At 44.6% G+C, this 26,750-nt stretch overlaps 1 long non-coding RNA gene across 1 annotated transcript, besides 3 other annotated features; it reads right to left on the bottom strand.

Moving 5' to 3' along the window:
* Positions 1–972: 972 nt before the first annotated feature.
* Positions 973–25,699, bottom strand: LOC102723834 (uncharacterized). The gene is made up of 4 exons (XR_426933.4): positions 25,593–25,699; positions 16,280–17,129; positions 6,818–6,883; positions 973–1,340 (listed from the first exon to the last, which is right to left on the bottom strand). It is a non-coding gene; the product is annotated as an uncharacterized LOC102723834 (long non-coding RNA).
* Positions 4,606–4,772: a silencer, noted in NCBI's record as "fragment chr1:225900316-225900482 (GRCh37/hg19 assembly coordinates)". NCBI's record gives its function as "represses an EF-1alpha promoter that drives an FKBP-Casp9 reporter gene in an ReSE screen in K562 erythroleukemia cells {active_cell/tissue: K562}" and the evidence as "EXISTENCE:reporter gene assay evidence [ECO:0000049][PMID:32094911]".
* Positions 5,913–7,112: an enhancer, noted in NCBI's record as "CDK7 strongly-dependent group 2 enhancer chr1:225897976-225899175 (GRCh37/hg19 assembly coordinates)". NCBI's record gives its function as "activates an origin of replication core promoter dependent on BRD2, BRD4, P300/CBP, MED14 and CDK7 cofactors, with strong dependence on CDK7, by STARR-seq in HCT116 cells {active_cell/tissue: HCT116}" and the evidence as "EXISTENCE:reporter gene assay evidence [ECO:0000049][PMID:35650434]".
* Positions 16,431–17,630: an enhancer, noted in NCBI's record as "P300/CBP strongly-dependent group 1 enhancer chr1:225887458-225888657 (GRCh37/hg19 assembly coordinates)". NCBI's record gives its function as "activates an origin of replication core promoter dependent on BRD2, BRD4, P300/CBP, MED14 and CDK7 cofactors, with strong dependence on P300/CBP, by STARR-seq in HCT116 cells {active_cell/tissue: HCT116}" and the evidence as "EXISTENCE:reporter gene assay evidence [ECO:0000049][PMID:35650434]".
* Positions 25,700–26,750: the final 1,051 nt, after the last annotated feature.

The following is a 26,750-nucleotide window of genomic DNA, read 5'->3' as shown; positions in this document are numbered from 1 at the left end:
CTCCTGAGTAGCTGGGATTACAGGCACCTGCCACTGCGCCCAGCTAATTTTTGTTTTTTGTTTTTTTGTATTATTTATTTATTTATTTGAGACGAAGTCTCAGTCGGTCACCCAAGCTGGATTGCAGTGGTACAATCTCAGCTCACTGCAACCTCCACCTCCCGGGTGTCTCAGCCTCCCGAGTAGTTGGGACTACAGGCCTGTGCCATGATGCCCAGCTAATTTTTTTGTATTTTTAGTAGAGACAGGGTTTCACCATATTGGTCAGGCTGGTCTCAAACTCCTGACCTCAGGTGACCTGCCTGCCTCGGCCTCCCAGAGTGCTGGGATTACAGGTGTGAGCCACCGTGCCCAGCTGTTTGTATTTTTAGTAGAGATGGTGTTTCACCATCTTGGCCAGGCTGGTCTTGAACTCCTGACCTCGTGATCTACCCGCCTTGGCCTCCCAGAGTGCTGGGATTATAGGCATGAGCCACCGCACCCGGCCTGCACTCTGCTACTATTAGGATTACACCATGTACCTGGTCCTCAGCTTTCCCTTTCCTCCAGGTGCAAGGGATGAGAGTATCCCTATGAGCTCCACTCAGTTTTCAATTGCTGATGAATCCTTTTCAACATTTCATTATTTTTTTCAAAGTGTTAATTATCCTTAGTGAAAGCCACCTAATTGAATTGTCCTTGTGGTAATTCTCCCCATATTTCTCAACCACCTGATAGGTCACACCCTCTGGTGCATTTCCTTCCATGGGAATACCATTCTAGTTCACCATTGGCAAAAGTTTTAACAATTTCACTGCTATCTTGTGCTACGGACTATATGTACTTCTTCTACTGCCACTGATGGGGTCTGCACTGCCAGCTGGATGGTAGGTGATCCAATTCCAAAATCTCATGTTGGCATCTCTTTCTTGGATCACTGCTGGTATAAACAATCTAGGGTTGAGTTCCCAGGGAAGGAGACACTGAGAGATATTAGCACGGAAGAAGTTTGTTATTAGCACAGAAGTTTGATATTAACACAGAAGAAGTGCTGGGAGGGAAGTGAAGGAGTCAGGACCGTGTATAGGAAGAGATTGGTTGGACCACAGTGAAGTCTAAAAGTCTCAACCATGGGAAGCTCTGAAGCTGGGTGATCCTTCAGAGTAGTCTCAAGTTGGGGAAGGGGGACCAGGCCTTTGAGTCCCCATATTGGCCAATCATTGGATGTGGGTCCCAGGAGTTGGAGTGATCTTGGGTGAGGTGACTTTCTTCATCCAAGGCAATTCCCAAAGAGGACTGAAAACTGAGGGCTGACCACACCATCAGCAACTGGGGGAGTAGTCTCCAATCCTGAAAGGCACCTAGGCAGAACCAGAGCATCCACTACGATCACGGTAAGCAGACAAACAGACCTGACTATCCTATTTACTACTCAGTGAGGCAACCCATACCACCTCCTCTCCACCCCATCCCTGTCTATGGCACTTAACATCTTCTAACGTAGTATATAATTAACCTATTTATCATACTGTTTAGCAGCAATTTCCCCTTCTAGAATGTAAAATCAAAGAAGACAGAGATTTTTATTCATTTGATTTACTAATGCATGCTAAGCACATAGCTAAGGACCCAACACATAATAGGGGCTGAAAAACATGTTCTGAATAAGTGAACAAATAAATAAATAAATACCTAACTCGTTGGTTTTTCGTGAGGATTAAACTGAATTGATGAATGTAAAATATTTAAACAGGCCAGACACACACTCACCACCATGTTAACTATTATTATTATAGAGTTTAAAGTCTTAGACCAATATGTTAATAACGACTGTCTCTGATTTATGGGATTATAGGTAATTTTTATTTTGTTCTTTGGAATTTTTGTATCTTTTAAATTTTCTGTGATAGATAATCAGGAAAGGAAAAATAGTAAATTATTAAGTTAAAAGAAAATTTGGTTGGTATACATTGGATAGTAGAGAGAATGAAAATTCCTGATGGACATCACCTCTCTTAGAAAGAGCAATTGATTTGACAGCAAGTTTTTTTGTTTTTTGTTTTTTTGAGACAGAGTCTTGCTTTGTCGTCCAAGCTGGAGTGCAGTGGCACGATCCTGGCTCACTGCAACCTCTGCCTCTCGGGTTCAAATGATTCTCCTGCCTCAGCCTCCTGAGTAGCTGAGATTACAGGCATCCGCCATCAAGCCTGGCTAATTGTTGTATTTTTAGTAGAGCCAGGGTTTCACTATGTTGGCTAGGCTGGTCTCAAACTCCTGACCTCAAGTGATCCACCCACCTCGGCCTCCCAAAGTGCTGGGATTACAGGCATGAGCCACCACACTCGGCCTGACAGCAAGTTTTATATGGTTCTTTCTCAAGCTTGACCTCTACATTGTTGAGGGCCTGGAACTGTGCCTGGCACAGAGCAAACACTCAGGAAATATTTGCTTCTAATAAGGACAGAAGGAAATTGGCATCATGGGATTTGGGAGATAGCTGTTCTGCTGTTGAAAGCAGCACTGTCAGGCTGAGGAAGTTTTAAAATTCACTGTTTGTGTCTCAGTTTTCCTGTCAAACAGATAATAAATGGTTGTTTCCCACTCTGACCTGTTAGTGGCCTCATGGAACTACTTCAATAATAAATGATTTCAACAATATCCCTATCAAAATTTTAGCTGCCCCTTTTATACTTTTTTGCAGAAATTGACAAACTGATCCTAAAATTTATATGAATATATAAGGGACCCAGAATAGCCAAAACAATCTTGGAAAAGAAGAACAAAGTTGGAGGACTCACACCTCCCAATTTCAAAATTTACTACAAAGCTACAATAGTCAAGACAGCAGGATACTGTAATAAGGATAGAAATTAATGGCATATAATTGAGAGTCCAGAAATACACTGTCAGATATGGTTAATTGATTTTCAACAAGAGTGGCAAGACAATTCAATGAGGAAAAATAATCTTTTCAACAAATGGTGTGGGGTAACTGGATTTCCTCATGCAAAACAATGAAATTGAACCCCCTATATCATATCATATCATATCATATCATATCATATAAAAATTAATTTAAGGCTGGGTGTGGTGGCTTACACCTGTAATCCCAGCACTTTGGGAGGCCGAGGCAGGAAGAGCCTAGGAGTTCGAGACCAGCCTGAGCAACATAGCAAAACCCTATGTCTACAAAAATATATATATATTTTAATTAGCCTGGCATGGTGGTACAATCTGTGGGCCCTGCTACTGGGGAGGCTGGGGCAGGAGGATCACTTGAGCCCAGGAGGCTGAGACTGCAGTGAGCCATATTCATGCCACCTCATTCCAGCCAGGGTGCCAGAGAGAGACCTTTTCTATCTCTCAAAAAAAAAAAAATTAATTCAAAATGGATTGTAGGCCGGTGCAGTGGTTCACACCTGTAATCCCAGCACTTTGGGAGGCCGACGCGGGCAGATCATGAGGTCAGGAGATTGAGACAATCCTGACTAACATGGTGAAACCCCGTCTCTACTAAAAATACAAAAAATTAGCCAGGCATGGTGGCACGCGTCTGTAGTCCCAGCTACTTGGGAGGCAGAGGCAGGAGAATTGCTTGAACCCGGGAGGCAGAGGTTGCAGTGAGCCAAGATTGCGCCACTGCACTCCAGCCTGGGCGACAGAGCGAGACTCCATCTCAGAAAAAAAAAAAAAAAAAAAAAAAAGGAATAAAAACAAGTGTTGGGGCCAGGCGCAGTGGCTCACACCTGTAATCCCAGTACTTTGGGAGGATGAGGTGAGCCAATCACCTGAGGTCAGGAGTTCGAGATCAGCCTGGCCAACATGGTGAAACCCTGTCTCTACTACAAAAACTAGCTGGGTGTGGTAGCGCACGCCTATAGTCCCAGTTACTCGGAAGGCTGAGCCAGGAGAATGGCTTGAACCAGGAATGCGGAGGTTGCAGTGAGCCGAGATTGCACCACTGCATTCCAGCCTGGGGGATAGAGCAGGGCTCCGTCTCAAAAGAAAAAAAAAGTGTTGGGGAGGATATAGAGGAATCAGAACCCTCATACATTGCTGGTGGGAACATACAACAGGGCAACTGCTTTGGAACACAACTTTGTAGTTCCTCAAAAAGTTAAATAAAATTACCATATGACCCAGAAATTTCACTCCTACATATATATCCAAGGGAATTAAAAACCTATGTTGATGCAGAAATTTGTACACAAATGTTCATAGCAGTGTTATTCCTAACAGCCAAAAGGTAGAAACAACCAAAATGTCCATCAACTGATGGATGAATAAACCAAATCCATACAACGGAGAATTACTGAGCCACCAAAAGGAATGAAGTACTGACACATACAACATGGTTGAACTTCGAAAACATGCTAATAAGAAGCCAGATGGCCGGGTGCAGTGGCTCAGGCCTGTAATCCCAGCACTTTGGGAGGCTGAGGTGGGCGGATCACGAGGTCAGGAAATCAAGACCATCCTGGCTAACACGGTGAAACCCCATCTCTACTAAAAATACAAAAAAATTAGCCGGGCATGGTGGCGGGCACCTGTAGTCCCAGCTACTCGGGAGGCTGAGGCAGGAGAATGGTGTGAATCCAGGAGGCAGAGGTTACAGTGAGCTGAGATCGCACCACTGCACTACAGCCTGGGCTACAGAGCGAGACTCTGTCTCAAGAAAAAAAAAAAAAAAAAGAAGCCAGACACCAGGCAGACTATATATTGTATTATTCTATTTACAGGAAGTATCCAGAAGAGTCAAATTTATAGAGATAGAAAGTAGATTGTTGGTTGCTAGGGGATGGGGATGGGGTAGGGAAATGAGAAGTGACTTAATAGGTGCCGGTTTCTTTTTGGAGTGATGAAATGTTCTAAAATTAAATAGTGGTGATGGTTGCACAATTCTGTGAATATACTAAAAACCACTTAATTGTACGCTTTAAAAGGGTGAATTTTATGGCATGTAAAGTACATCTAAGTAAAGCTGTTATTAGAAAAAGAAAAGGGGCCAGATGTGCTGGCCTATGCCTGCAATCCCAACTACTTGGGAAGCTGAGGCAGGAGGATTGCTTGAGCCCAGAAGTTGGAGACCAGCCTGGGCAACATAGTGAGACACCATCTCTAAAAAATAAAAAAGAGAAAGGAAAGGAAAATAAAAGGGTAGGGGGCAAGGGGAGGGATAGCATCAGGACAAATACCTAATGCATGTGGGGCTTAAAACCTAGATGACGGTTTGAGAGGTGCAGCAAACCACCATGGCACATGTATACTTATGTAACAAACCTGCATGTTCTGCACATGTATCCCAGAAGTTAAAGTATTATATATATATATATATATAATATATATATATATTTATAGAAAAAAAAAGAAAAAAAGGCTGGGTGTGGTGGCTCGCACCTATAATCTCAGCACTTTGGGAAGCTAAGGCAGGAAGATTGCTTGAGCCCAGGAATTTGAGACCAGCCTGGTAAACATGGTAAAAACCCATATCTACAAAAAATACAAAAATGTGTGGTGGTGCATGCTTGTGGTCCCAGCTACTCGGGAAGCTGAGGTGGGAGGATAGCTTGAGCCTGGGAGGTCAAGGCTGCAATGAGCTGTGATCACACCACTGCTCTACAGCCTGGGCAACAGAGCAAGACCATCTCAAAAAAAAAAAAAAAAAAAAAAAAAAGAGGCAAATGACACAAGGAGGTTTCTTAAACCAGAGCATTGGAAGTTGGACTAGTGCAAAGCTTTCAGGGGACCAAAGTCCCTGCAGGGTCACAGGTGCAGTCTGAGCCTTTTCCTTCCTGCTCCACAGTGCAGGCATTCCTGCCCCTTTCCCCAACATGAAACACAGCCACCTCTGTGGTCTCTATCAGGTTGCTAAATGATTTTCCGAACCTGAGTTAGCCAGCGGCCCTGTGAGCTGCCAGCCATGCTGAGTGACTGTTCTAAAAGGGCCTGAGCTCCTTCAAACAGCCCATGTAGAAGGTTCTTTTTCCCCTTGCCTGGAAAGTCTCCTCTGCCTACCTGTGCCTTAGCCCCTCCTTACTCTGCCTTTTCCATAGGGCATTCTGCAGCCTCCCGTGGGCTTTTTTATCTACCCCTTCCTGCCCTGGGCCCTCTCCCCAAAATCACAAGTCATCCACTTCACCAAATTTGGTGGATCAAAAACCCACCAGGCATGCTTTTATTTTTTAGGAGACAGATTCCTGAAATTCACCCCACTGAAATTGAGTCAGTAGGTTGGGGGCAAGCCTGGGACTCTCGAAGCTCCCCCAGGTGATTCTGATGATCAGCCAGATTTGGGAACCTTTGATCCAGTTCACCCTCCCACCCAGTGCTCCAGCATCCCTGCCGAGAGGTTGACTCAGCTTTTCCAAGAAGCATTCCCTGACTTGCCTTGCCAAGGTGGGAGCTCCACCCAAGTGCTTCGAAAATGCTGTGCTCATCATCAACCCCAATCTTAGTGTGAATCATGTATTGTCATCGCCTGTTTAAATGTCTCACTCCCCCACTAGACTCTTTGAAGAAGGGGACTGTGTCTTAGTTAATGTATTACCCCCAATACCTGACTTGTAGTAAGGACTTCGTGTATTTATCAAGTGAGTGAGTGAATAAATGAACACCACTAGAAATCTACGAATATAATACAGTCATTATCTAAGGTATAATGATTTTGCTTGTACAGCATTTGGTGTGAAGAATTTGACAGTGAAAATATTTATTTGGCTATTCTGTAAAAGGAATTAGATTTTGATATATCAGCTCTGAAAATCGGGCTGGAAGCTAGCTGTCCTTTAGACAGTTAGGTCCAGCTGTTCTCACAAGTGCGTCATTTAGGAAGACATACCATTCACTGGAAGGATTTGACATATTTCCTGGGTCCAAGAACAAGCTTTGACTTAGGCTCTGTAGTCTGTAAATGTGAGAGAAAATAAAGTATGAGCTGATTTAGATTTATCCATATCCAGTTAAGGGCAGATTCACATTTTGAGGGGCCTGAAGCTTGGACAATTTTGGAGGCCTTCTTTTAAAAAAGCCCTTGTTTCTCTACCACCCCCAAACTTCTAGTGCCAGGAGCCCAGGACAGGCTCATTTTGTGACATCACATCTGACCCTGTACCTTTATGACATGCCAGGTGGGTCTTTACAGTGAGTAAAGGAGTATTCCTGGACGTCACCTATGTACTGATATAGCTATATTGCTATATATTGCTAGCTAGCAATAACTTCATATCTACCTAAGTGACAGCATACCACATACGTCTCCCACATCCCATAAATATGTCCCCAACATCCCATACTAAATGTAGTCCCAATGCAACTTCCTCTTAGCTGGATATCCAGAATGCCCATGGCCTCTCCAATGTCACTGACATCAGCGGAAAGTGGTAGAGGGGAAGTTAGGGTAGAGACAGAGAACTAGTTAAAGTATCTTACCTTTGAAATTTTTATAAAAACAGATTACCATGAGAGCACACAGTAGTCCCCTCCCAGAGCCATGAAAGAGGACAGTGCAATTGAGGGGCTATGAAGCTTAAACTCTGTTTAGTTTCATGATAAATGCACCTCTGCAAACAAACATTTATTGAGCATCCCTTACATGCCAGGCACTGTTTCAGGCACTCAGAATGAAGTGGTGAATAAAATAATCAAAGCCCATGACCTCATGGGGCGCACATCTAGTCTAGTTAAAATAGGTGTGTTTTCCTGGTTTGTGAGGACAGGAACATTGGATGTATTGGCCACCACTGCCTGACTCTCAATAAATATTTGTGGAATGAATAAATGAAAGATGGAATGAATGAAACATTTCAGAACTAAAAAGTATTGTGCTGTTGAGATTTGGTATGTCAATGAAATTCAGCACAAATTACAAAGTTGCTACAAAGCCTATGAAAAATTATAAGGACGATAATGACATGGGTGTTGCACCACAATTTTCTAGGACCCAAGCAGGACTATTGTTCTGACATGTATTAACATTGGCAGGTAACCAGAGATTCCACTTCCTTTCTGGAACTAAATTGGCACTCCAGCTAGTACACCTCTAAGGCAGGTCCTCCCTCAGTTTTGGAAGGTTAAAAACAGGGAGAGACAAGTGAGAACCAGTCCCAGTCCTGTGTCACCGACTCCTCCTTCTTCTGCCCGCTGGCTGCCGGAGCTACTGGAGATGTGGCCCTCAACAGCTGCTCATCTGTCACAGCATTCACTACAGGTGATTGGGTAACCTCTCCCTCCCATTGACCCCTCCGCCACCACCCCCCTACCTCCTACTTCACAGGAGATAGAGGTAATCAGAGGACAATGCCCACAGTCACCAAACCTGCAACATTACTGCACCTGAGTCCATCTTCCCCTTTATTCCTCTGTTAAGGATGGAACGAGCCCCAGCTGCATCATTTATTAGCTCTGTGACATGGAGCAATTGTGAGGGCCTCAGTTAAAGATTGTCCCCCACTTTTTTTTTTTTTTTGAGGCGGAGTCGAGATCGAGGCTGCAGTGAGCCATGATTGCACCACTGCACTCCAGCCTGGGCAACTGAGCAAGACCTTGTCTCAAACAAACAAACAAACAAACAAACAGAGATAATGGAAAAGGTACATGGTGCCTGGCACAAGAAACTTTCTTTAATTATTAATATTGCTGTTACTATTCTTATCATTTCTGTCCAAGGCCAATGCCTTCCATGGTATCTTGCCTTTTCAGAAACTCCACTCTTATCAGTTATTCACTCTCCCTGTTCCTTCAGCCTTTCTTCTATAGCCTCCTACCCATCACCATATAAACAAATACAATTTACTTCAATTTTTAAAGATGGCAGCGTAATTAAGAACTTTCCTTGACCTCACCTGCCCCTCCATCTGTCCTTCTTTCTCAGCTGCAGTCTTTGGAGAGTAGCTCGCATTCACTGTCTCTGTGACGCTGTCTTCCTCCCTTCCTTTCTGCATCCACCCAGCACTCCTCGGAGTCAGTCTTAGCAAGGTTACTAAAACCTCCCTGTGGCTTGATCCAGTGACTGCCTTGAGTCTTTTCTTCCTTGACCTCTCAGTAGCTTCCCAAGTTGCTTATTGTTCCCCCTTTAATGTGCTTTTCATCCCTTGACTTCAGGACATCCAGCTCTTTAACTCCTTTAACTCCTACTTTCCCAGCCCCTCCTCCCAGTGTCCTGTGTGGGCTCCTCTCCCTTTGTGAGTTCTTCGGCTTCTGCTCATCCCTAAGTGGCTGTATTCTCTGCTGGTCTAGCCCTCGTTTTGTTCTTTTCTTACTCTTTCCTCTCCTCTGGTTCATCCCGATGATTCTGAGGCTTCCATCATCATCCAAAGCTGGAGATCAATCATCCAGTGCCACCAGTCCAGACCTCTCTTCCAGGCTCCAGACACATAAATCCAGCTGTCTGCTGCCATTCCCCATTTACATTCCCCACAGGCCCTTCAAAATCCACATGCTCAAAATAAGCTCTTCATCTTCCCCCATAAACTAGTCCTTCCTCCTGTTTCCTATTTCAGTGAACAGCATCTCCCTTGACCCAGTTGCCCATGCTAGAAACTTGAGAGTCTCCCTTTACTTCTTCTTTAGCCAATCAATTAACAAGGCCTGTCCATTATCCCGCCTATAAATCTCTCAACTCCATTTGTTTCTTTTCACTTACACAGTCACTACTCTCTTGTAACTGGCCTTCTTGTTTCCAACTCCCTCCCTGCCGCAGGATAAAACACAGACTCTAGGCAGGTTGGGTGGGACTGGAGGGGCAGGCTCTGCTCCCTGTGATCAGCCCTTGCTTACCTCTCCAACCTCAGGTCTTTTCTCTTCTTTGCCACCTACCCTTCGCTCCAGCCACACAGCTCCACTTTTACTTTCCAAAAAGCCAGGCTCCTTCTTGTCTTTGGGCCTTTGATTCTGCCACTCACTCTAAATAGATTAATCTTTGCAGCCTTAAGTTTTTGTTACCACTGGGGCCATCCCCCCGACAGCTCCCCTTATTTACCCTACTGTAGCATTCCCCACACTGTGTCCCAACTGCCTGTTTGCCTGTCTTCTCATCTAGTCTGCGAACTCCTTCATGAAGGGACTCAGCCTCTTTTGTTCACTGCTGAACAAGGCTCTAAGTAGCACCTGGCTCGAGGTAGGTGCTGGACATGTGATTGCTGGGTGAATGAATGGAGGACACGTGATTGCTGGGTGAACAAATGGAGGACACGTGATTGTTGGGTGAATAAATGGAGGACAGGTGATTGTTGGGTGAATAAATGGAGGACACGTGAATGTTGGGTACATAAATGGAGGACACATGATTGCTGGGTGAATGAATGGGCCACTGGTTCTTCTACATATCCATGTAGCCAGTAGAAACCTGGTCCTTGGAGGTTACTGTGTAAGCTTTTTAAGCACCTCTTTTCTGAAAGCTCATCACTGACCCACACATTCTTTCCACTGCCAAGCCTCAAACTCTGAGCCAGGGGTGGAGGAGAGAAGAGGTGGGGTGACTTTCCTTTGGAAGAGAAGAACGTGGATTCTGTCTTTTCTGAGGTCAAGTCTACCAGCTCCCTCCCTCATTCATTTCTTCTCCACCCCTCAGCATCAATGTATCATCACTTACCCACCTTGCCTTCCTTTCTGCGTCAGAAGAGGAGGGGTCCCTCCTTCCAGCCAAGGTTAGCCCTTCTATGAGAACCCTTGGTGCTATGCCTCTTAGGAACCATCATGCACCCATTGTCCCCTTCTCTTCCCATTTAACAGCGTCCTGTCTGTGGTCTCCTTCCTTTCTACAGATATACAAGCTGAATGAAGTCTCTTCTATCTTGAAAACATTGTGACTTTTTCTTTTCTTTTTCTTTTTTTTTTTTTTGATACAGGGTCTCACTCCTGTCACCCAGGCCGGAGTGCAGCAGTGTGATCAAAGCTCACTGCAATCCCTACCTACTGGGCCCAAGTGATCCTCCTGCCTCAGTCTCCCAAGTAGCTGGGACCACAGGCATGTGCCACCATGCCTGGATAATTTTTGTATTTTTTGCAGAGACAGGCTTTCACTATGTTGCCCAGGCTGGTCTCGAATTCCTGGGTTTGAGCGATCCGCCCACCCTGGCCTCCCCAAGTGCTGGGATTACAGGTGTGAGCCACTGCACCTGGCCAACAAATTATTTTAAAAGGGATTTTCCACTATACTTTCTGCCTCCATCATTGTTTTCACCCTCTCGCTCTTTCCTCCTGGCCCCCTCTCCTTCCCGTCTATATTGAACACACTTTCTCTCCTTTTTTTTTTTTTTTTTTTTTTTTTTTGTTGTTGAGACGGAGTCTCGCTCTGTCGCCCAGGCTGGAGTGCAGTGGCGTGATCTTGGCTCACTGCAACCTCTGCCTCCTGGGTTCACGCCATTCTCCTGCCTCAGCCTCCCAAGTAACTGGGACTACAGGCGCCCGCCACCACGCCCGGCTAATTTTTTGTATCTTTAGTAGAGACGGGGTTTCACCATGTTAGCCACGATGGTCTCAATCTCCTGACCTCGTGATCCGCCCGCCTCGGCCTCCCAAAGTGCTGGGATTACAGGCGTGAGCTACCGCGCCCAGCCAAACACACTTTCTTTAAGGTCACAAATGACTTAGTCCAGCTCACGTTCGAGGCTTGCCCCTACTCTCTACTGACACATATGCCCTAGGTTTCTGCCTCACCTTCCCCATCGTTCAACACGGGTTCATTGAGCACCTGTTCTGTGTGCAGCCCGGTGGTGGGGAAGGAAAAGTTATCAAAAAGTGGCCCTCTGAACTCAGAGGTGTGACTAAGATACACACACGGAACTCTACTGAACACTGGATGGCAGAATATAAGTGCCAAGTTATGTGGCACAGACTGTGCTTCCTACCAGGGAAGAGAGAGAACAGCCAGGCTGGAACAGTCAAAGAAATCTTGAAGCTTAAGGTACGAGCTAAGCTAAACTCTATGATGGGCGGGATTTTGCGGAGTGGGGGTGGAGTTGGGGAGCAAGTGCCAGGTTACAGTAAGACAGGAGCAAGGCCTCTACCATCTAAGATGCCTTCAGAGGTTTTCTTCACATTAAAGTGTAAATGACTGAGAAGGACTAAAAACGTAACCTATTTAAGTTGTACTTGCATTTTACATTAAAGACTTCAACTAAGAAGAAGCTGGGTTTTTTTTTTTTTGTTTTTTGTTTTCTGTTTTTTTTTTTTTTTTTTTTTGAGACGGAGTTTTGCTCTTGTTGCCCAGGCTGGAGTGTAGTGGAGTGATCCTGGCTCACTGCAACCTCTGCCTCCCGGGTTCAAGCGATTCTCCTGCCTCAGCCTCCCGAGTAGCTGGGATTACAGGCATGCGCCACCATGCCCAGCTAATTTTGTATTTTTAGTAGAGACTACCATGTTGGCCAGGCTGGTTTCCAACTCCTGACCTCAGGTGATCCGCCCGCCTCGGCCTCCCAAAAGTGCTGGGATGGCGTGAACCACTGCACCCAGCCTGCAGTCTTAATGATAGAATTTCAGCCATTTCCTGAGTTAGAAAAAAATATAATAGTAATGAAAAAACAAAAAAAGAGTCATCCCTCTCTCTCTCTGTTCAGTTTGCAAGTTTTCCCCTGTAAGAATTATGCATGAGGCTGGGCTCGTGGCTTATGCCTGTAATCCCGGCACTTTGGGAGGCCGAGGAGAGTGGATCACCTGAGGTCAGGAGTTTGAAACCAGTCTGGCCAACAAGGCGAAACCCTGTCTCTACTGAAAATACAAAAAATAAGCCGGGCATGGTGGTGTGTGCCTGTAATCCCAGCTACTCCAGAGGCTAAGACAGGAGACTCACTTGAACCCGGGAGGCAGAGGTTGCAGTCAGCCAAGGTCACACCATTGCACTGCAGCCTGGGCAACAACAGCGAAACTCCATCTCACAAAAAAAAAAAAAAAAAAAAAAGAGGCCAAGGCCTCACTTTGGGAGACCAAGGCAGGTGGATCATGAGGTCAGGAGATCGAGACCATCCTGGCTAACATGGTAAAACCCCGTCTCTACTGAAAAACCACAAAAAAATTAGCCAGGTATGGTGGCGGGCGCCTGTAGTCCCAGCTACTTGGGAGGCTGAGGCAGGAGAATGGCATGAACCCAGGAGGCGGAGCTTTCAGTGAGCAGAGATCGCGCCACTGCACTCCAGCCTGGGCGACAGAGCAAGACTCCGTCTCAAAAAAAAAAAAAAAAAAAAAAAAAAGAAAAGAAAAGAAAAAAGAATCACGCATGAATATAACAGCTCTGCCATGCAAATATTTTCCTTGATATGAGGTCAGAGCCAGGCCTCAGGCACACACAACTGCATATCCTCCCAGCAGGCACTTTGCTCTCAGTGTAGGCTTGATACCATCTCTGTTCAGTGTGCTGTTGTATTTGAGGTGTTATTTTAATCAAAACTGTTTTTTTTTAAAAAAATCTTCTTTTATTTTTTGCAAAATGGTTTGCAAGTAATAATAATAGCAGATGCTTAGCTAGTGTATACTGGAGACAGATTCTGCACTAAACGCTTTGCATATAGTTGCCCCCACGTAATCTTTCAAAATAACACTGTGAAGAAGGTTCTTTTATAATCCCCATTTACACATGAGGAAACTGAGGCAGCTGGGTTAAATAACTTGCTGGGAAGTTAAGGAGTTAAGATTCCACTCAGGAAGTGGGAAGGGGATGTGGGGGCTATATGGTTTCCCTCTTGCAGGAGGTTGTTGTTGACCTGCCGGCTTCCCATGCGGCTGACAGTGGCTTCTGAGCTCCTGAAGCTTCAGAAGTGTTTGCATTTTATTAGTGTAATGATAGTTTGCAGTATCTAACCCATAGCAGTGTTTCTCAAACTGTGCGAAGGACTAATTTGATTTTTTTTCTTTTTTGAGACGGAGTCTCGCTCTGTCACCCAGGCTGGAGTGCAGTGGCGTGATCTCAGCTCACTGCAGGCTCCGCCTCCCGGGTTCATACCATTCTCCTGCCTCAGCCTCCCGAGTAGCTGGGACTACAGGCGCCTGCCACCACGCCTGGCTAATTTTTTGTATTTTTAGTAGAGACGGGGTTTCACCTTGTTAGCCAGGATGGTCTCGATCTCCTGACCTCGTGATCCACCCGCCTTGGCCTCCCAAAGTGCTGGGATTACAGGGGCGAGCCACCACGCTTGGCCAATTTGATTTTATTTTTAAAAATTTCTGGGGGCTGGGCGTGGTGGTTCATGCCTGTAATCCCAGCACTTTGAGAGGCTGAGGTGGGTAAATCACCTGAGGTCAGGAGTCCAAGACCAGCCTGGCCAACATGGTGAAACCCCGTCTCTATTAAAAATACAAAAAATTAGCTGGGCATGGTGGCGGGTGTCTGTAATCCCAGCTACTCGGGAGGCTGAAGCAGGAGAATTGCTTGAACCCGGGAGGCGGTGGCTGCAGTGAGCTGAGATTGTGCTATTGCACTCCAGCCTGGGCGACAAGGGCAAAACTCCATCTTAAAAAAAAAAAAAAAATCTGGCTAGGCACAATGGCTTACACTTGTAAATCCAGCATTTTGGGAGGCTGAGGTGGGAGAATCCTTTGAGCCCAGGAGTTCAAGACCAGCCTGGGCAACATGAGACCCCCATCTCTTAAAAAAAAAAAAAAAGAATTAGCTGGATGTGGTGGCTCACACCTATAGTCCCAGCTGCTATTCAGAAGGATGAGGCAAGAGGATCACTTGAGCCCAGGAGTTCAAGATTGCAGTGAGCTTTGATCGTGCCACTGCACCCCAGCCTGGGTGACAGAGCAGGACCCTGTCTCAAAAAAGAAAAAATCTCCTAATCATTGCATACAATTTGATAATTGTTATAAGAGTTTCTAAATCCTCTCAATTTCTGACTTATCTTGTTGTAGATGAATAGTGAAGAGTTTGCAGGCCAACACCAGTTCGAGGACAGTATTTTGATGGGCACCAATATGTGGTATCAACAAAGCAGCTTCATACTTTTAAAATTTCATTTCATTCATTCAATACACATTTTTTTAAGTGCTTACTACATAGCAGGCACCCAACTAGGTGCTACAAATCAAGTAGGAAAAAAGAACAACGGGGCCTTCATAAAGTTAACATTCTAGCAGGGAAAGCAGAATTGAAACAATTTACTGAGAATTAATTATTTTTTATAATTAATTATAAAAATAAATACCACTGGGCATGGTGGCTCATGCCTGTAATCCCAGCACTTTGCGAGGCCAAAGCAGGTGGATCACCTGACGTCAGGAGTTCAAGACCAGCCTGGCCAACATGGTGAAACTCCATCTCTACTAAAAATACAAAAAAATTAGCCTGGCATGGTGGCGGGCACCTGTAATCCCAGCTACTCGGGAGGCTGAGGCAGAGAATTGCTTGAACCCGGGAGGCGGAGGTTGCAGTGAGCTGAGATCGTGCCACTGCACTCCAGCCTGGGCAACAAAAGTGAAATTCTGTCTCAAAAATAAAATAAAATAAATAAAAATTAAAAATTAATGCTAAAGAGACGATCAGAATACTCAGCGCTCCTATTGGGGTGCCCAAAGCCAGGCTGATGGGTAAAGGAATGCTTCTCTAAGGAACCCTTCATCTTAGAGCTGAAGAATAAGCAGGGGCTGCAAGGCCCCAAATGGGGAAAGAGGGTTCTAGGGAAAAGGAGGGACAGAGAGAGAGCCCTGGAGCAGACAGACACACAGGAGGCTGCTAAAATAGTGTCCTGTAGGTCTCTAGAGCCCATGCCAAGGATGGTGCATTTTATCTCAAGAGCTATGGAAATCTCCTGAAGGATTTTAAGCCAGGGGTGGGCAAAATGGTCAGATTTACCTTTTAAAAATCATACTTTTACTTTCCCAATAATTTAAACACAGCAGATTTTCATAATAATTGTAACACGGAACTAACAATTCATTACAGAGATTTTCGCATGTGAACAAAAAGTTTGGGGCTGCTAATCTATCGCAAGAGTTATTTTTGATTCCCATGGCTCTACAAACACATGATGTAGACAGTCACTTACATCTCCAAAGAGGTCGCTATGCTCCTTCTGCCTCCTCCTCTCAGTCCCTACCATCCTCTAAGTAGCATCTTAAGAAGAGCGGCTGTGTGAGGTATGTGACCAAACTCCACCCACTCCTCTTTTTTGCACTAACAGAACCACAATTTAGTTCAAGCCAGCAATATTCCCAAGAAAAACTCATTTTTAAACCTATTAAAAGTGACCATGTGACACAGTTCTGGCCAATGGGAAGACAGCAGAAATCTGCTGAGGATTCAGGGAAACCTTTTGCTTTCCAGATGAAAGGAAGCCATCTGGCTAGTACAGTCCTGTCCCCTTCTTCCTACCTTAAAAATCAGTCGTGAGTCCCAGAGGTGCTGCAGCCATCTTGCCATCATGAGGCAACAAGCACAAAGATGACAATCCAACATGGTAAGGTTGGTGGGACAGAAAGAAACTGAGTCCTTGAGAACTCGGCCTCTGTCCACTTCTGTTCTTCTTGTTACATGAGAAAAATAAACCCCTATAGGCTGAAGCTGCTGTAAGTCTGGTTTTCTGATGCTTCAAGTTGAAAGTAAGTGAGCTTCCCAATTGGAAATGGATGGTCCACAAAATCAGATCAACTTGCATAGCACAGTATTCTCCCCCCTGCGGCTGTTCCCATCTTTGAACGTTTAGATATTTCAAAGGAAAAAGCCTTTTCTATTATTTCTGACATGGCTTCGCCCTTCTCACCAGGAGCTGTAACGGGATAAGTAGGCTCTGTCACGGGTCCTTTGTTTCCTAAAAGGGGAAGGCCGGAGACGAGGTTTCATGGAAAATGCTGATATACTACACCACATCAGAATGTGCTGTTCTCATTTATTTTTTAATACAAACCCATCTTTGCATGTGGGCACTGGCAAAGAGTTGATGGTTATGAAATGTTGGGCGACAGTGGTAATATGGGAGGTGACACACAGCAAAGGAATCTCGTCTTCAAATTACACAGAACACAAAACCATTGTGGTTCATGACATAGCTCCCACATTCTTTCCGTATTTATCCAACGGGGCTCCAGTGAATTGGATGGTGTCTTCTGTTTGTTTAGTGAGTGTGTAAAACTCCTGGACAGGGTTGTGTGAAGCAATGTGTAAAAGCCACAGTCGCCAGCCTGTTACCGCTACCTTATGTCCATTTTCCTCTGTGCCACGAGCTCTGCGGAGAACCAATGAGAACAGTTGGTACAAAACTCAGGGAAGAAGTTCAGGAAGTAGTTGTCAGAAATGATGCACGCTACAGTTACTATATTCAGTGCCAAAGCAATTCATTTATCTTTACAGACACACACAAGCAGAAAGGGTGAATTCAAAGGTAGTCCTCTGGGCAGAGAAAACATTGCAATTCTAGACACACACTGTCAAGAAGCCCATATGTCTGCAATGTAAAGGGCTTTTTTAAGATTATAAGCTGTCTTTCAAACACAGCAGCTTCTTCTAAAAATAATTCCATTTGATCAGACAAAGTGGGAAGAATGCTACTGGTTGGTATCTCAGGGGCAAAGATAGAATCAAAACAGAGTATAATCTCTCATGCCTACAAAAGGGCCCCAGGAAGGACTATTCATCAAAGAGGAGATGTTTTAAAGGAACACATACACTATGAGAGTGGCCAAAGGAAAATATAAAATGCTGAAATATATGCAAAATGAAGCCTCTGTGGTTTATAATGAGGCTGAAATCTCACTGATGGGGTCTGGCTTAACTCTGAATTAAGAGAATGAAGCTGAAATCCCCATGACCTTGAGGCAGCAGCTGAAGACTTCAATGTATGTACATTTTCGGTCACTCAACTTTTGTAACATCTGGAGCATGATTAATGCTGTGAGGGGTTTAAGAACTTTTATTGGCACTAATAGTCATTGGTTGCCACTAAAAAATGGTCCTGCTGCCAGCAAAACAAATGGTTAGGCATTTAAAGCCCCTATCAGGGTGGAAAAGGGCATTTTGCCAATTTTAGTTTCCTCTTGGAAACCGTGTGGTCAATTTTCCAAACTATGTTTGAACTTCAAAAGTCCATACTTGCTGCACTGGGTTAGATGGGCTTCCTGGTATTTCAAAGAAGTTTACAAAATCTTTGGAAAGTCTAAAAGTTTTAAGATCACAATTTGGAGAAAAAAGAAATATTATCAATAAATGTGCAGAAAAATACCTTAGGAGAATTTAAAATATTAACAGCAGTTACATGTGGAGTAGTAGAATTACTACTTCTTTACACATTTTGCATTTTCCAAAATTTCTATTATAAGCATACATTATTTTTATAATCAAAAGACTTTATAAAGTACTTTTAAGAAGAAAAAAATTGTTTCAAGACTTCCTTCAAAAACCAGGCAGCTTTCTATAAAGAAAAAGGTGTTAGGCCAGACACAGTGGCTCACACCTGTAATCCCAGAATTTTGAGAGGCTGAGGCAGGCGGATCCCTTGAGGTCAGTAGTTCAAGACCAGCCTGGCCAACATGGTGATACCTCGTCTCTACTAAAAATACAAAAATTAGCTGGGCCTGGTGGCACACACCTATAATCCCAGCTACTTGGGAGGCTGAGGCAAGAGAGTCGCTTGAACCCAAGAGGCAAACATTGCAGTGAACCAAACTCATGCCACTGCACTCCAGCCTGGGTGGCAGAGTGAGACACCATCGAAAAAAAAAAAAAAAAAGGAAAAAAAAGAGAAAAGAAAAGAAAAAGGTGAGTTGGATTCCACCTTTGGCACTCACTAGTATGTAACCTTGGTATTAGAGATAAGCATTATATGATTAAATTAAATAGATATAAAGTGCCTGCAGGGGTGCAAGACATATTGTAAATGCTTAATAAATGTGAGTTAGCATCATTATTTCACCTCAAATGAAGTTCAACATTCAAAACAGTATTCAAAGGGCCCCAGGTATAGAATTCTATTCTGATGAGAAATTTATCTGAAAATTTTTTTTGTTTTTTTTTGAGATGGAGTCTCGCTTTTTCACCCAGGCTGGAGTGCAGTGGTGTGATCTTGGCTCACTGCCAGCTCTGCCTCCTGGGTTCAAGCAATTCTGTGCCTCAGCTGGGATTACAGGCGCCCACCACCACACCTGGCTAATTTTTTTGTATTTTTAGTAGGATGGGGTTTCACCATCTTGGCCAGGCTGGTCTTGAACTCCTGACCTCATGATCCACCCACCTCGGCCTCCCAGAGTGATGGGATTACAGGCAGATTTTTTTTTTTTGAGACGGAGTCTCACTCTGTCACCCAGTCTGGAGTGCAATGGCACGATCTCGGCTCACTGCAAGTTCCGCCTCCCGAGTTCATGCCATTCTCCTGCCTCAGCCTCCCGAGCAGCTGGGACTACAGGCACCCGCCACCACGCCCGGCTAATTTTTTGTATTTTTTAGTAGAGACGGGGTTTCACAGTGTTAGCCAGGATGGTCTTGATCTCCTGACCTCGTGATCCGCCCACCTCGGCCTCCCAAAGTGCTGAGATTACACAGGCATGAGCCACCAAGCCCAGCCAACCTGGATTTTTAAAAGGAAGGAAAACTGTCCTGAAAATAGGATTACAGAATAGTCCTTTCATATTGCCAAAGTGTGGGAATTCTCCCTTTCTCTCCAACTCCATGGTAAGGAGGAAGGGATCACGATGAGAAATTTACACAAATTGATTGGATGCCACTGTTAGGGATCAGAATCTGGCTTCCTTACACCTCCCATTGGCTTCCAGACAGATTAAAAATGTGAGACTCTCATGACCACTTGTCAGGGATCCCCATGCCTGGGTCGGGTGCAGTGACGTGGGTCACAGCAGCTGCCATTCCCACAGCTGTTGGCCATCAGCCCTGGCAGGGGCTATTTCAGGTTTTACTGAGTATTTCTTGCCCCACTAGTAAAGCTTTGAGAAATGCTTTGAACTATCCAAAGACCAAAAGGCCCTCCCAGCCTCCATTCTTAAGAGAACAGTCTTCTGCTAACTTAGCCTCAGTGACGGTAGGGTTTCTCTCCTGCTGGGCAGAGACTGTCCCCCGCTAGGCCATAGCTTTCAGGGAACAGAACCATAAACCTCCTTTCTCCAAGTCAAAACTTTTTGGAAAGATTTTCTGCTCAATTTTTCTAGTCATTACAGCTAAATATGTCTAGTTTTAACTCTTTCCCTGCGGTGAGGGTAGTGAATCAGTGTCTGAAGAGTTGAGGAAGAATAATACTAGCTAGCATTGATTACCACTTACTCTGTGCCTGACATTGTTCGAAGCAACTTCTGTATTGCTGTAGATAGGTCTCACAACAACCTCAGGAGGTAGATACAGTTATTATTACTATTTTATAGAGGACTGGCCCCAAATTACTATGACTCCATGGCCAACTTGTTGTATGTACAGGCCTAGGAGCATCCTTTTCTTTCTCTCTCTGTCTCATAAAATTTCTGAAATGATTACCAGTTAAAAATGAGCAAGTTTGAGCCAGACAGGTGCAGTGGTTCAGGGTTGTAATCCCGGTGCTTTGGGAGGCCAAGATGGGAGGATCACTTGAGCTCAGGAGTTCAAGAGCAGCCCAAGCACCTATTGGGACCCTGCCTCTAAAACAAATTTTTTTTTTTATAATTAGCTAAGCCTGGTGGCATGCTCTTGTAGTTCCAGCTATTCTAGAAGCTGAGGCAGGAAGATCTCTTGAGCCCAGGAATTTGAGGCTATCATTATCATGCCACTGCACTCCAACCTGGGCAGCAGTGAGACTCTGTCTCAAAAAATAAATTAAATAAAATAAAATAAGTAAGTTTGGGTCTTTATGTATTCAAGGGAGCAACTTTTGTCAAATTATTTTCCTTTATTTCCACTCTCCCACCCCATTGATCCTGGGTACTTTTCTAGATGATCTTGCATCCAGGTTTCAAATATGATTTCTTTATGTCATGTCCCTAAAGACTGATGCTCTGAGTTGTTGGCCTCAATTCTCTCCTAAAAGCTGTAATATTCTTTTTTATGGCCAAGGGAACAAATGTACTTCTAGAGTGACCAAAAGATAGGATGGGATAGAAAACTGGCCAGAACCATATGCGCTGAATTTTTTAGTGTAAGGAGAGCCCTGTGGAGCCCATTATTCATTTATCACACAGGCATCCCTGGGCAACAGCTGACAAGCGCAAAACAATGCTCTGCAGATTACCAGACTGTCAGGACACTCGATGCAGGCCAGCCATGGCAGCCCCTTCCTCCATTCTCTCCTCCACCCCCATCCCTTGAAGCCTGCTCATGGCAAACATATGGGAGCCATTCAGGCTTATTCCCTCCTTTCCAATGTCTGAGTTATGTTGACAACAGGGGATTTACAACTGCCCAAAATGGAGCGTTGTGTTTCTTTTGGATTATTCCAAGTTTGGGGCCTGTTAAAAGTTTTGTAACTATATAAATATTTATCCAGAGTTTTTGGTTACTATATAAACATAACAAACACGACATTGGACCTAAATGCTGTAAGTCACTTAAAAGTCTTCCAGTTAAGAAAGGGGGCAAACTAATAAAGGGCTTCAGAAATGATTATTTTTATTGTGAAATATTTTTACTGCTATTTTTATGCTGGGTTTTAAAAAGACCAAAATATGTTTATCCTTGACTCTATGTAACTCTTCAGACCATCAGCCAACTTGCTTAAGCATGCTCCTGACCTGCAGAGACATGGGAGAGAATGTGGATGGTGCAGTACAAGGCTTCACCTTTGTGAATATGCTCAGGCCAACAGCTGGAAGCTTAGGATGAGAAATGCTACTCTGAGCTTTGTCACCTTCGAAGGCCAGAGATGTTACTTTATGTTCAAATGTTGTATGTTCACATTTGTTAGTAGGTTCTGGTTAACGCTTACAGATGCTAGGTAGAAAGAGCTGAAACTATTAATGCCCAGATATTAATTATTAAGGATAGACACCAAAGTACCCAGACCTAGGAGGGCTCATGTTGTTAATGAAAAACTAGGGGGGAAATATTATGGTGCGTTATTTTCGTAACCCCTATGTTTGCCATGAAGTTAACCCTCCAGATCTAAGGGTTGAAATTCATGAAGTGTTTGTGTGTGTGTGTGCGTGTGCGTGTGTGTGTGTGAAGTTTGTGTCCTTCAGAGCTGTTGGGGTTGTCTTTTTTTTTTCTTTCTTTTTTAAGACGAGATCTCACTCTGTTACCCAGGCTGGAGTGCAGTGACACGATCATGGCTCCCTGCAGCCTCAAACTCTTGGGCTCAAGCAATCCTCCGACCTTAGCCTCCTGAGTAGCTGGGACTACAGGCACATGCCACCACACCTGGTGATATGGTTTGGCTGTGTCTCCACCCAAATCTCATCTTGAATTCCTATGTGTTGTGGGAGTGACCCATTGGGAGGTAATTGAGTCATAGGGGCAGGTCTTTCCCATGGTGTTCTCATGACAGTAAGTCTCATGAAATCTGATGGTTGTTATAAGGGGGAGTTTTCCTTCACAAGTTCTCTCTTTGCTTGCTGCCATCCATGTAAGATGTGACTTGCTTCTCCTTGCCTTCCGCCATGATTGTGAGGCTTCCCCAGCCACGTGGAACTGTAAGTCCAATTAAACCTCTTTCTTTTGTAAATTGCTCAGTCTCAAGTATGTCTTTATCAGCAGCATGAAAATGAACTAACAGACTGGCTTTTTTTTTTTTTTTGTAATTATAAGGTCTCACTATGTTGCCCAAGCAGGTCTTGAATTTCTGGCCTCAAGTGATCCTCCTACCTTGACCTCCCAAAGTACTGGACTTATAGGTGTGAGCTGCTGTGTCTGGCCTGTTTTTCTAATTAAGGAGGCACACACATAACCTTGGTCTTGGAGGAGGTTTCTGGCCGAACTCTTTGACCCTCTGTAGAAAGCAGTAGGTCCAAGGAGAAAGCAAATTCCTGGGTTCTGTCCTGCTTCCTCAACCCCGGCCTGGCACCATCTCCTACATCATTTTTTGGCTCCCTGTTCCCTTTATCCAGTGGATAAAGTAAGGTGGTCCCTTCTTTGTTCTTTGCAGCAGATCAGACTGGAACCAGGAAACTGATTGTTTTTCTATGTTTGCTGGTACTTGGTAAAAGGAAGCAAACCCTGTAGTGTTGACTTAAGGTTAAATGGGGTGAGTGCTGACTTCATGTGTTCTGGCATGATCTTATCTGTTGGAGATAACACAGGCAAGCCCTGGAGTCTAGTAGAACACAGCGGGGCTGAAGCTCATACAGCTCTGCAGGGCCTTGATGCAACAAATGCTGGAGACTTCATTTCTTTAAAGGACTTAGCTAATGGTCAATTACTATTGTTAGAATATTATTAATCCCATTCTGTATATAAGTAAATGTTGACAGAAAATGGTTTAATGACTTGCTCCAAATTTCATAGCACACCAAGATTATAGTTACAGGAAAAAATAGCTAGATTTTCTCATTTTCTTTTTTTTTGGAGATGGAGTGTCAGTCTTGTTGACCAGGCTGGAATGCAGTGGTGCGATCTCGGCTCACTGCAACCTCCACCTCCTGGGTTCAAGTGATTCTCCTGCCTCAGCCTCCTGAGTAGCTGGGATTACAGGCGCCCACCACCACGCCGGCTAATTTTGTATTTTTTTAGTAGAGACGGGGTTTCACCATGTGGGCCAGGCTGGTCTTGAACTCCTGATCTCAGATGATCCATCTGCCTCAGCCTCCCAAAGTGCTGGGATTACAGGTGTAAGCCACCATGCCCAGCCTAGAATTTCTCATTTTCAAACCCATGCTTTAGCAGGGAGACTTAGCTGTAAATAAACATGCTTTACATGCACAGTAAGAAAATCAGAGAAAATAACATTACAGAATCTAGCATCTTTTAGAGTCTTTGGATGGAAGTTTCTTTTTTTTCCCCCTGTGTACTGTTTGACAGTTTCACTGCTAACATTTTAACTCCTTCACTTCTGTATGCACCATCTAAGAGGTGATGAGTCGTCATTTTCTTTCCCTAAGGACCTGAGGGGCAGAGAGGTTAACAATTTAGCCCAGGACACATTTTTAGAGGTAGAACTATGACCAGAAGTCCTAGATATCCTGACTTTAGATCAGGGCTTTTCTCACAATGCTAGAAACTGACTGCTTGTGTTCTGAGCAACTAGTACATACCTGCACGGATTTTGGACTGTGCTGGGTAGCACGGATTTTGGACTGTGCTGCATAGCACGGATTTTGGACTGTGCTGCATAGCACGGATTTTGGACTGTGCCGGGTCAACTTGCTTTAACTGGAATGGTTTTCTCAAGTTCCTTTCTTGGTATGCCTCTGGGTGAGAGCTGGACAAAAGAGAAATTTGTCCAAGATTAGGAAGGTGGAAGTAAAGCAACAGCCACTACTCTCTGAAGGTCATTGTGGTTTGATGCTCTGACTGGCAGGTGCAGGGGTGCTGGTGGGTTCCAGCTTGTTCAGTTTCCCATTCCACAGCCAGCAACTCTTCCTAAGACCATTAGTGGGGCCGGCTCACCATCAGAAACATAGACTTTTCTACCAGCTCTACTTTCACGGTCCCACTTCAGCAACCAGATGTGCCTAGCTGCCTATATTCCTTGGCAAACTTTGTTCCATCCACACCAGTGCTTCAGGAAGGCTGGTTTGTGACTGATGCTTTAACTCCTTGTCATGCACCCTTCCTTAGCTTCTCCCACCATTGCCTAATATATCCTTCAAAATTTACACATGGTTCTGCTTCCCTGTTTGGGTGCTGACAGAGAGAATACCAACATGGGCTGGGCGTGGTGTCCCATGCCTGTAATCCCAAAACTTTGGGAAGCCAAGGTGGGAGGATGTCTTAAGGCCAGGAGTTCTAGACCAGCCTGGGCAACATAGCAGGACCCCATCTCTAAAAATAAATAAATTTAAAAAGGGAAAAAAAAGAATAAGCAACATGGTGCACCATGAGAGCTGCAGAAGAAACATGAAAGTGTTCCTGCCGTCAAGGGACACATGGCTATTGGGAAGATGGAGCACTTTAACACAGCCAGCTGGGGACTCATGTAGCTTATGGTAAAGTGACAAACGCACAATGCAGTCATTGCAGCCCAAGGTGTCTAGTGTCTCTTAGTGCCAGGCATGAGGAGCTGATTGGGAATGGTCATAGTCAGCATTTTCCATGACTGATGACCACATTGAGATCCAAGTGGAGACCAACTTTTCCTTTCTCTGTTCCAGGCTTTTAGGCTCCTTATCAACACAAGAATGGACATCAAGTTACTTACATATTGGGCCAAAATATTGAGTGCAGATGAAAATAAATGCTGACTTTGAAGATTTCCCATCCAGCCCGCAGAAATTCCCCTGGCCTGCCACACTTGGGTAACTTGAGTTCTGGAATTCCAGACGTGGTTAACCCCAATCCACAAATTTGCTGGAGTTATGAAGCTGAGTGAGAGTACTGCTTTTCTATTATGCATTCCCAATATGTTCTGTTCTGAGCTGACACCACAGAATTTACTTCTCCCACAAGTTTAACCCACTGCATGGAGTGATCATGGCTCACTGTTTTTTGGTAAATACCAAAATACAGATAACAGTTTTTCACAGTACAAATTTTATATCTGACTTGGCTGGAAACTTCCCCAGTCACTCCGTCTAGTTGCCTCATTTTGTTGGGCCTTGGTTTCTTTCAGTTTCCTACTAAAACTTACCTCTTTGGGGAGGCATGAGTATCAATGCTTGGCTACCAATCCAGGTAAGGCCTCTGAATGAAAGGTGATATGGAAGGGCACAAACGATCTGGATACCTATCCCCTGGGAAAGTCCAGGCCTCAGGCCACAGCAATGCCACAGCTTCTGGAAGCTGCCTGGGAACTGAGGTTTTATTCTCCTGTGTGTGTCTACATGCCTGGAGTGTTGACTCTGGAGACCTATGAATACAGTAAATGACATCATAGGTAGCTCAGGTCAATGAAGATTTATTTTTAGCTATGACCCTTGTCTGTTAAATGATCTGAATTTAAAAAGAAAGAGGACACGGAAGAAGGAAAAGAAATGTGAAAGGCAATGAAAGAATGTAAGATTCCTGCTTGATCTTAAAAAGCACTAGAGCAAAAGTCAAGCACAGCTTTCTTATTTCTTTTCAACCAGAAGGGTGTTACAGGAGAAATGTATGAAGGGCGGAGGATATGCCCTCTTGTGAGAATTCTGTCTCTTCCCTGCAGTTACTCATTTTGAGAATGTGGCTCCCAGTGTCTACAGTGGAGGTGGGCTCATTTGTCCCTGGGCTTCTTTTTTATTTTATTTATTTTTTGAGATAAAATCTCTCTCTGTAGCCCAGGTTAGAGTGCAGTGGCGCCATCTTGGCTCACTGAAACCTCCGCTTCCCGGGTTCAAGCAATTCTCCTGCCTCAGCCTCCCGAGTAGCTGGGATTACAGGCGCCTGCCACCGCTCCCAGCTAATTTTTGTGTTTTAGTAGAGATGGGGTTTCACCATGTTGCCCAGGCCGGTCTCAAACTCCCGACCTCAAGTGATCCACCTGGGATTACAGGCATGAGCCACTGCGATCCCAGTGATCCTGCGGGGATTACAGGCATGAGCCACCACGCCAGGCCTGGACTTCTTTAGATTGTGCTTTTCAGTAATCTGTCCCTGTTTGTCTTGGTGTCTTATGGGCTGACGTCTGAGGGATCCCTGGTTACTCCCCATTTTTATGCTGTACTGAGATAGGACAAAGAGAGAAAAGAAGTCGTGGAACTTTGGGAGGCCAAGGCAGGAGGATTGCTTGAGCACAGGAGTGCGAGGCCATCCTGGGCAACATAGTGAGACCCCATCTCTACAAAAAAAATTTTAAGCATTAGCGAGGCAT

This window comes from Homo sapiens, chromosome 1 (assembly GCF_000001405.40).
Source record: "Homo sapiens chromosome 1, GRCh38.p14 Primary Assembly".
Lineage (NCBI taxonomy): Eukaryota > Metazoa > Chordata > Mammalia > Primates > Hominidae > Homo > Homo sapiens.
The sequence above is the reverse complement of the archived record's forward strand: the minus strand, read 5'-3'. Positions and strand labels throughout refer to the sequence as shown.